The sequence below is a fragment of the Homo sapiens genome, chromosome 1, assembly GCF_000001405.40.
Source record: "Homo sapiens chromosome 1, GRCh38.p14 Primary Assembly".
In the NCBI taxonomy this organism is placed as follows: Eukaryota; Metazoa; Chordata; class Mammalia; order Primates; family Hominidae; genus Homo; species Homo sapiens.
The window spans coordinates 41,230,666-41,241,532 of NC_000001.11; the positions used below are offsets into that span (position 1 = coordinate 41,230,666).

At 38.8% G+C, this 10,867-nt stretch overlaps 1 protein-coding gene across 37 annotated transcripts in view, besides 2 other annotated features; it reads right to left on the bottom strand.

Annotated features, from left to right (window-relative positions):
* Positions 1 to 10,867, bottom strand: part of SCMH1 (Scm polycomb group protein homolog 1) — a 215,105-nt gene that overhangs the window by 203,464 nt on the left and 774 nt on the right. The window lies entirely within an intron of this gene.
* Positions 10,202 to 10,381: an enhancer, noted in NCBI's record as "active region_860". NCBI's record gives its function as "activates an Ori minimal core promoter by ATAC-STARR-seq in GM12878 lymphoblastoid cells {active_cell/tissue: GM12878}" and the evidence as "EXISTENCE:reporter gene assay evidence [ECO:0000049][PMID:35858748]".
* Positions 10,702 to 10,861: a silencer, noted in NCBI's record as "silent region_741". NCBI's record gives its function as "represses an Ori minimal core promoter by ATAC-STARR-seq in GM12878 lymphoblastoid cells {active_cell/tissue: GM12878}" and the evidence as "EXISTENCE:reporter gene assay evidence [ECO:0000049][PMID:35858748]".

The window sequence follows — 10,867 nt, forward strand, 5'->3', positions numbered from 1 at the left end:
AAAAAAAAAATTAAAGAAATGATTCTCAGATTTTAGGCCTGAACAAATAGATGAATTAGGGGGCTGTTCACTGAAACTGGCAACAATGAGTAAGTATCAGACTTACTTAGAGAGCTTTTAGAAAATATTAATTCCTATGTTCTATCCCCTTAGAGATCCCAATTCAATATAATTTTTTTGGCACATGGTACTTTTAATTTTAAAAATTTCTCCAGGCGATTCTGATATTCAACAAGGTTTGGGACTTGCTGCTACAAACGAAGTTAACCAGAGTAGATTATTATTGCTTGCAAATTAAAGAACCCCATATGATTAGAAATTGGTTTGTGGGAGTGGCACAAATGATAGTCCCTAAAACACAGAATTGACTGGATCAAAGTTGAGAACAGAACAGTAGAATTCTATATACCATGTTAAGAGGTTGGCCGTCTTTATAATATGCTATGAGACAGCTGATCAAACTGTGGTCTATTTTGTACTGGGATTCACTATTACTAGGACTTGGCATGTTTTTGACACTATATACATAAGAAACTGAGGCAGAAAAAGTTCATATGACATCCACCTAGTATACATTCTGGCACATGCATCTATCAACAAACTGCAGTTTGTCAGTCATTATCAAATGAGTCAACTAAATTAGGCACATCATTTTATGAAGAAATATGTTTTAATTAAATCTCAAAGAAATAACATCTAAAATTAGAATAATTTTATTATAACTTTTTAAAAATAAACTTTTTCTATTAGAACAGTTTTAGATTTACAGAAAAACTGCAGATAGCTCCCATATACCCTGTACTATTTCCCCTACTACTAACATTTTACATTAGTATGGCATATTTGTTACAATTCATGAACCAATATTGATACCTTATTAACTAAAGTCCACACTTTATTCAGACTTCCCTAATTTTTACCTGAGATTACTTTTCTATGACAGGACCCCATCCAGTATACCATGCTACATTATATTTAGTCATTATGTCTTCTTAGCCTCTTCTTGGCTGACACTTTCTCAAACGTTCCTTGTTTGATGACTTTAACAGTTTTGTGGAGTATTAGAAATTTTATAGGCCAGGTGTGGTGGCTCACGCCTGTAATCCCAGCACTTTGGGAGGCAGAGGCGGGCAGATCACGAGGTCAGGAGTTCGAGAACAGCCCGGCCAACATAGCGAAACTCGGTCTCTATTAAAAATACAAAAAATTAGCCGGGTGTGGTGGTAGGCACCTGTAATCCTAGCTACTCAGGAGGCTGAGGCAGGAGAATCGCTTGAACCCAGGGAGGTGGAGGTTACAGCGAGCCAAGATCTCACACACCGCACACCAGCCAGGGTGACAGTGCAAGACTGTCTCAAAAAAAAAAAAAAAAGAAATTTTATAAAATGTACCTCAGTTGGGATTATCTGATGTTTTCTCATGATTAGACTCAGGTTATGGCTTTTGGGGAGGAAGAGATCTTAGGTAAAGTTATTATATCTGTCACCTAAATAGTAAAACCCACTGAGGGAAGAAACCCTATCTTATTCTCACCTTTTTATCCTTAGTATGTAGCTGGTAAAGGTTGAAAAACTGCAAACCAAAGGTTGAAGGGGTACAGAAATGTTATAATTTATTAAAATATGAGCACTGATCCTAACGAGGAATCTAGTCATATATCTGCTCAAATTAAAAAATAAATATGACTTTGATTTGCTAAACCATTTCATTCTTCTAACCAGGGATCTTTTGTTTGCCGACATTGTTTGGTGAGATAGAAGATATATTCAGACTAAAAATATATGTGTCAATTCCTGCAAGTAAACTTTGCCTCCTGTACTGATAAAGTCTCAGAATTACATAACACTGCTGTGGGGCACATATATGGTGAAATGAAAAGAGGACTGGGGTTGAAGTCAGGCTGGTCTGGGCTTGAAACCAAGTCCTATTACTTATAAACTGCATAATCTTGGCCAGCTATCTCTGAGTCTCAGTTTCTTTATGTATAAAATAGAGGTGATACTACCTATATGCAGGTGGGTAAAAATAACGTGTTTATACGTTTCAACATATTTGACAGATACTCAAAAAAGGTTATTCCCTTTTTTAGTACAGTACATTATATAGAGTAGGTCTGCTTTAAATACATTTTGGAATAAGGCAACATATGTATAAACAAACAAACACAGAAGATGCTGATTGTTACTTTCACAAATTGGATAAATGAATTCTGAAACAATTTCACATGCCTTTTGCTTTTTCGAGCACCTAATACATGTCTGCTATGTGGCAGCCCCTCAAATGTTTGATGATTCTTCCATCAGATATCCAGGACCAAGAGTCAAGAGAACCAGATTCCAGTTTTTGACCCTCGACAAACAAGTCCCTTCTTTAGGCCTCAGTTTCTTTACTGAATAAATGACCTAATAGTTACAGAACTTGAGAGTGAGAAGAGATCTTAGAAATCATTCACGGCAACTCCTTGCCTAAATCACAGAACCACTGAGTGGCAAACTGGGACTTGAATCAGGACTCTTAATCCCTATATATAAGCCATATATATATAAGCCATATATATATAAGCCATATAACTCTTTCCACATACCATGCAGCTTATAAGGTCTCTTTCACCTTCTTGTCTATGAAATATTTGGGATTGAACTACTACTGTTCTTTAGAATATCATCCCATTCTGAAAAATCCACTAAACTAGCAAGCTAAGTTTTATCTTTATCAAAACCAGAAAGTACAGAAGAATAAACAAAATTGTCACTATCAATCATAGTTACCTAAGAGTAACTATGACTATAGATAGCAGAAGATCAAAAGTCTTTCGATCATGTTAATATATCAAGTACTTAAATATGGAGATGATCTATTTTTAATAGTCCCTGATTATATCTTCTTCATAATTAAATGAAATTATAATCACTGGCCCACAGAACTGATAGACTGAATCACTAGTATTCTGAGATATCCATATCTCTATCATCCCGGTATTCCTTACTGTAACTTACAGCAAAATGATTTTTAAAAAAATATCCAATGATCTTCTCTTTTTAGGATTCCCATTTCATGTCTTTAGGGCCTTTCACACTGCTGACTATTCCTTTCTTTTTGAAACTTACCGTTGTTCTCTTGGCATCCAAACATCACTTTCTCCTGATTATGCTTATGGTATAGTGATTCAGAATATAACTTACTGCACAAGAGCACAGACTGTAGATCCAGACTGCCAGAGTCCAAATCCAGGCTCTACCACTTGCTATCCCTGTGATCTTTCACAGGTTACTTAACTTTGTGCTTGTTTAGTAAGTACTATAAAGGTATGTGTTGTTATTGTTCCTTAGTCTCTTCCTCTGCTGTGTTTCTTTAACCTCCACATATTCCACCTGGCAGATTCCACCCACTGAAAGGGGTCTTTACCTCTTCCTATCTGGAAGGGCTTCTTTCATCTCCTCACCCTCTATCTGGTGAATTCCTTCTCAATCTTTAAGATTCAGTTTAGGGCCAGGCATGATGGCTCACGCCTGTAATTTCAGCACTTTGGAAGGCCGAGGTGGGAGGATTACTTCAGACTAGGAGTTTGACAACAGCCTGACAACATAGCAAGACCCCTGTTTTTTTTCTTTCTGCTCTTTAAAATAATTCCACATACAATCATTCCCAATTTTGACAAGTTTTAAAAATTATCTGGGCATGAGCACACACCTGTAATCCTAGCTACTTGGAAGGTTGAGGCAGGAGGATTACTTTAGCTATGATCACAATACTGCACTCCAGGCTGGGCAACGGAGCAACTCTGCCTCTTTTTTTTTTTTTTTTTTTTTTTTTTTTTTTTGAGACACAGTCTGGCTCTGTCATCCAGGCTGGAGTGCAGTGGCACAATCTCGGCTCACTGCAAGCTCCGCCTCCCGCCTCCCACGTTCAAGCCATTCTCCTGCCTCAGACTCCGGAGTTGCTGGGACTACAGGCACCCGCCACCACACCTGGCTAATTTTTTGTATTTTTAGTAGAGACGGGGTTTCACCGTGTTAACCAGGATGGTCTCGATCTCCTGACCTCATGATCAGCCCACCTCGGCCTCCCAAAATGCTGGGATTACAGGCATGAGCCACCGCGCCCGGCAAAACTCTGTCTCTTAAAAAAACTTAAACAATAAAAAAGATTCAGTTCAAAAGTCATTCTCTCTCTCTGGAACCTTTCCAAATGTCACTTCCCTCCTTCTGCCTTGGCCATCAGTTGTTCCTGCCCTAGTGTTCCCATAGTACTTTGAATATGTTTCCACCACGCCAAGCTTATTTTTGTATTTTTTGCAGATACAGGGTTTCACCAAGTTGCCCAGGCTGGTCTCAAACTCCTGGGCTCAAGAGATTTGACCACCTTGGCTTCCCAAAGTGCTGGACTTACAGGTGTGAGTTACCATGCCCAATGCATTTTGAATATATTTCAACCAGAACATTAGTTACATTAGATTGAATAGGCCACTTGAATCTGCCTATATTAAATCATTTCAGACCTACAAAAACAGAAATTTTATGGTTCACTCTAATATTAGTGGTGAGTAAAAAATTTTATGATTCACCCTAATATTAGTATTTCTTTATACTTCTGCTGTCCCCTCCCTCCCTGTATTATGCTCATAACAAGAGTGGAATGCTATTTATTCTTTAAAAATATACATATATTTGGGAGGCCGAGGCAGATCACATAGTCAGGAGTTTGAAACCAGCCTGACCAACATGGTGAAACCCCGTCTCTACTAAAAATACAAAATTTAGCCAGGCGTGGTGGTGCATGTCTGTAATCCCAGCTACTCAGAAGGCTGAGGCAGGAGAATCGCTTGAACCCAGGAAGTGCAGGTTGCAGTGAGCCGAGATCGCACCACTGCACTCCAGCCTGGGAGTCAGAATGAGACTCCGTCTAAAAAAAAAAAAAAAAAAAAAAAAAAAGAAAAGTTCAGATATATAAAAGGCATAAAGAATAATTAATAGATACCTATATATCCACAACTCAGTTGAAAAATATTTACTTATTCAATTTAAGCTCTGTGTGTGCCCTTCTTTGCATTATTCTTGGTCTTTTCTCCCCAGCTTACCCTTTGGAGATACCTACTATCCTTAATTTGGTATTTATAATTATCATGTATTTCTTTATTACATAAGTATGCCTCCCTAAATAATACGTGCATGTCAAGCTTTATATAAATGTGTTCTGCAATTCACCTTTTTCATTCAACCTGTTATTTGTGAGATTTGCTCATGTTACTATATAGATCTAGATCACTCATTTCACTATTGTATGGAATTCTATTAAGTAAATATACCACAATATTTTCATTCTTTTACTGACAGGCATTTAGACTAGTTCAAATTTTTTGCTGTAGCAGTGTTGCATGAATATTTTTGAACATCCCTTTATGCATACATTGGAGAGTTTCCAAAGGGTATATACCTAGGAGTGGAATTGCTAGATTGTAGTTTATGTGTATTTTCATCTTAATAGATATTGTATAAGAATATATTATATCAGAAACCAAGGGTGTGTATAGCCAAAGAGCACAGGGGTTTTAAGAAGATGAAGAAGTAATGGTCCAGATATAGTGGAGAATAAAAAAATACAGTTATCTTCACCTCTCTTCTTTGGGATGGGAGGGGTGCAGGAGAATGTGCTGCATCCATTTAAAAGAGCTACAGAGGAAGTAGTATGTTCTCCATGACTCAGGAGATAGCCTGGCTTCCACTTAAGGCCAGGACACACAAAAAGACATCCAATAAAATGGTTAACAATGTAGGAAACAGGAGTTTGAGAGAGCAAGTGGAAGGAGCAAAAAAGCAGGGCTGGAAGAGAGTAAAAGGAAGCCAGGTCAAAATAAGAATAACAGTATGGAAGACAGACCGTTTGATTCTGGGACAAAGATAACAGGTGATAAGTCTTGCTGGGTTTATCTGGCGATAAGGTTATCAAAAGGTTTCAGGGCCCCCCTCTGCCCTTTGGATACCAAATTCCAGGGATGATCGGATCCCTACATAAAATCATATTTGCATATGATCTACACACATCCTCCTATGTATTTTAACATCTCTAGATTATAAAACCTAACACAATACAAGTGCTATGTAAATAGTTGTTATACTATTGTTTAGGGAATAATGACAAGAAAAAAGTCTGTACATGTTCAGTACAGATGCAACCATCCTTTTTCCATATTTTCAATCCATAATTGGTTGAATACACAGATGCAGAACCCATGGATACAGAAGGCCAAATGTAATTAGTTCTAGCAGTTTACGGTGGCTAGAGAGTTAACACTAAGGTCTTGGAATGCTGTGGTTAAATTCCCTCATTCACAGATGGGGAGAGAAAGACCCAACATTTGAGTGCCTGATATGTGACCAACATTATCTAAAGTACTTTGCACTTTATCTTAGTTAAACCTTACAGCTACATCTTCCTTCATTTTATAAATGACAAAGTAAAAGTGATCTGCCAGGGGTTGTGCGGTTAATTTTTAGTGACATTGAGGAACTCAGGTTTCCTTTAAAATCCTAATCAGTATGGCGGAATAAAAAAGACAGAATTTGAAATTAGAGCTTCTTCGGTCACTTTCTACCAGTGAGATCTTGTATGTTTCTTAACCTCACGAAGCCTATCAATCAAATAAGATTACTGCAAAGATTAACCTACAACTACAAAACAAATCTTAGATTTTTTTAACCTAAAATTGGCCTACACAGGAACTTCTTTTCAAGTGTGGAATTTCTTATTTCGTTTATTGCAAACAAAAATTTGAAGTTTCTGAATTGATGCCTATACATTTTACAGATAGTAAACTGAGGTAGAGAAAGAAGACATCCAATGTGTGGCTCCCTAATGTATCCAGAATCAACTCCAAACTGCATCACAGTTTCGGATCTTTAATACCAATGCCCCAGCCCATCTCTCTAGCCATATTTCCTACTATTAGCTTTTACAAATACAATACTCAAACCTGTGGTAGCTATTTTTAACAAAGATACCATACCCTATGCTTTCCCTATTTTATATATCTACCTAAATTATTTACTCTATTGAAATTTGTTCATGGCCCAAGTAAAATTCATTTTGAAATGAAGCCCAACCTTGTTTCCAAATGCTTAGAAATGACAGCTCCCTCCTCTGAACTGCTTTACCACTTTGCTACTACCTCCCTTAGAGTACTCACTATGTTCTATTTTATAACTTAGGTAAGCATGTAAAAGGTTCATTTCAGCTAGCAGAGCATAAGCCCCTTAAATGAAGGAAGAAAGGAACTAATATTTACTTTGTATCTATGAATCACCAATCGCTTGTGATTTTATGTGGTATGTGTGTATATATTTTTTCATGTAATATTTGTGATATCCTATGAAGTATAAATTTTTTACAGATAAGGACACTGAAGCTCACAGAGGCTAAATAATTTGTTTACAGTCATAAAGCTAGTAAGTGACAGAGTCTAGATCTGAATTTTGGTGTTTCTAACTCCAAAGCCTAGGCTCTTTCCACTATACTCTGTCTAGAAAACCATGGGTATATCCTCACTGCTTTATCTGATTGTTCCCTACCCACCCACTAATGATCATCAGAGGAAAAAACCTCCACTGCCCTTTGTCATTAAGTATTAGCAGAAAGGATTCAATATGAGGTATGTGCCCTCCCACTTTCCAAGACTAAGAACAGACTCTTCAGAGCAAACAGAATGATTAATATGAGTCCTGAATAAAGATAGAGATCAGAACTCTGCTTCCAGGAAGGAAAAGTAAAAAAACTATTACCTTCTCACTCTTGTGTTTAAAAACCCCTCCTCCTTCAAGGTTTGCACCATCTGGCTATATAACTCTCTACCCCACCTCCTCATCTGTCATCTACCACCCTCCTGATTAATCCCCTATCTTTACTGCACCTGGGTCACATCTTTCTCTCTTCCCCACATCCCATCATCCTCAATCACTTCACTCTCTACACAGATGACTCATTCAATACACTAGCCTCCAAATTCCTTGTCATACTCAGCTTTACTGACCTTCGCCTCTGCTGTATTTTAGCTACCCATACACAGAGACCTCGCTGTCACCTAGAACAGTCCCAATATCAGACAACTTAACTCCGATATTCCACTTTCTGACCACACCTCTTTTTTTTCTCAGCTTACTTCCACTATATTTGCTCACTGATCTAACTCAAGAAATTGAAAATCTTCAAGTCCAGAATTGAACTCATCATCGTTTCCTGTCTCAGTTAAAATTACCAACATATCCTCCTTAGTCATCCAAGGCAAAAACCTGAGCATCACACGGGACTCCTCACCCTCTCACCTGCACATACAATCAATCATTAAAGCCTTATACATTTTCTCAGATTCATTTCTTTCTCTTCATCCCTATGACCACATTTTAAAAATGTTACTTCAACCATGTCTGATAGACACCTTCCAGTGATTAAATAAAAATAAAAAAAAAACACCTACTGAATTGATTTTAGGATACTTATGCATACAAGGTCCACCACGACATGGCCTCTGACTGTATTTCCAGCCTTACAACTCATCACTTATTGTTATATTCCTAGCAGTCCCAAACTGTTTGTGGTTCTCTACGCAAGCCATTCCTTTTCTCACATTGATGCCTTTGCTCAAGCTGTTTTCTCTGTTTGAAGGACGCTTTCTGCTCATGTTTGCCTCACTTACTCCTACCTACCATTTAAGATTTGGGTCAGATATCATCTCTTCCCAAAGCCTTCCTTTAACTCCTAGGCTAGTCTAAGTGCCCTCACCTTTGGGCAACCTTTACTCTCACCTTGTATATCTCAGCTATGCGTAGTTCTCATCTTTTATTCTGAGATAATCTATTTAAGCATCTAATTTACCAGCTCCACAAGATTGGAAATCTTTGTAAACCCAGCTGAGCACAGTACATAGCATAGTGCTTGACCCATAGTAGGTACATAAGTGTACAGTGAAGGTTAGAACATACCAATTTTCTTTTCTTTTTTAAAAGATGGGGTCTCATTCTGTCACTTGCTATGGCGTGATCATGGCTCACTGAAGCCTCAAACTCCTTGACTCAAACGGTCCTCCTGCCTCAGCCTCCTGAGTAGCTGAGACTACAGACATACACCATCATGCCCAGCTATATTTTTATTTTTATTTTTTGTAGAGACAGGGTCTTGCTACGTAGCCCAGGCTGGTCCAGAACTCCTGGCCTCAAAGAGTTGCCTGCCTCAGCTTCCCAAAGTGCTGGGATTATAGGCATGAGCCCCTGCATCCAGCCCTAAGTTTAAATTTTCAGTGGGATATTCACATCAATTCTTTCTCATAGTTAAGTATCCTCTACCTTTCACTCCAAGTCCTTTGCAAGGAAGGAATCAGGGCCTTTCCTCTGGATCTGTATAGTTCCATTGAGAATGGTGCTATGCAAATGTTTACCCAACTTACATAAAAGGGAACAACATTTGCACAAACATACCTAAAATCAAAACTTGACATATGTGCTACAAAGTTCAAAACTATTGACCAATTTAAAAAATGAAGGCTTAAGAACAAAAATAAAGAACCAATTCTGACTGCTGGTATGTGCTTGTCTAAGTTGTAAAAACACTGAAACTTTGCTTAGTACTTAAACAGGATCCCAGATGTAAGAGCCTGGCCTTTTATCTACAAGGCCATCTCATCTCTACTGGGCTTAAAACATTACTAACCTGCAGAGTTGCTTAGGCAAGAGTTTAGGAGGTTGGTAAGTAAGCAACAAAAAGTGTTCTCTTTCATAGTAATTTTGGGCCTCCTGCTGGCAGTTAGAACTAGAGCAAAGAGTTCAATGTAATAAAGCATTTCCCTCTGCAACCAAATATTAAAATTGCAGTTTGGCACTAAACTAGGTCTCAATCCTTTTCAGAGTTTAAAAAAAAAAAAAGAGCTATTCTATTTGCCTGGCACATTACACTTCAACAAAACATTTTGATGTACATTAGTTAGCAACATTTGATAAAGTGTTTATAGACATTTTTTAAAAGGAAGGAAACCCCCAAATTTCCACAAAATAAGATGTCTTTTAGTTTGTTTGAACAAACACTACTAAATGTTTTCTTTTTTTTTTTTTTTTAAGTTCAAAATACAGTACAGAAATGAGGAAGGGAATCTAGAGTACTTTTGATTTAAGCAGGTCAATCCTTGGGGCTGTTTCTTAGAGAAACTTACTACGTTTTGTCTCCAGGATCACTTTTAAGAAACTCTCCTTTAAGGGGATGGGGGAAACTAAAGCTCATCCAGAGGACAGTTTAGAGAACCACAGCAGATGAGAGACAACTGAAGAAAGTGGAAGTGAAGACTCAGGGGACATGATTACTATCTTCAGATATCTTAACAGCTTCCCATAAGGGAAAAGAACTAGGAAGGATGGGAGCCAGCTGTTTCTTTCAACTTATAACCAAATGTGTCCAGGAACAGAATGGGTTTCCTTTAAAGAGATTCGCTTCGGATCACTGGAAGAGGTTCCAAACGGGCTCGTCAAATTATCGGGGGGATTTGGGGATTTTCAAAGTCACTTTGGCATGGGATGGGAGAAAGCGCCCCTAGATGACTTTTAAATTCTCTTCCAGTCAGGAGATATTCCGGGGTTCACCCATCGGCTGGATACCACTTTCGATGCTCTCGGGCTGGCACACAACTGTGCCCACGTGTCTGGCCCCCAGGGCCGCTGTGGCTCACTTCGGTGCGGGGCCGCTCTCCCTGCCCGTTTCCGGCGGGGCACTGGGGCAGGCGGCACACGTGAGTCGGCCAGCCGGGGCCCAGCCCCCAGGACGCTGCTGACAGCTCCGGGCCCTAGGCGCCCCAGCTCTCGGTGGGGGCCACGCCGCCCCGTCGACCTCTGTC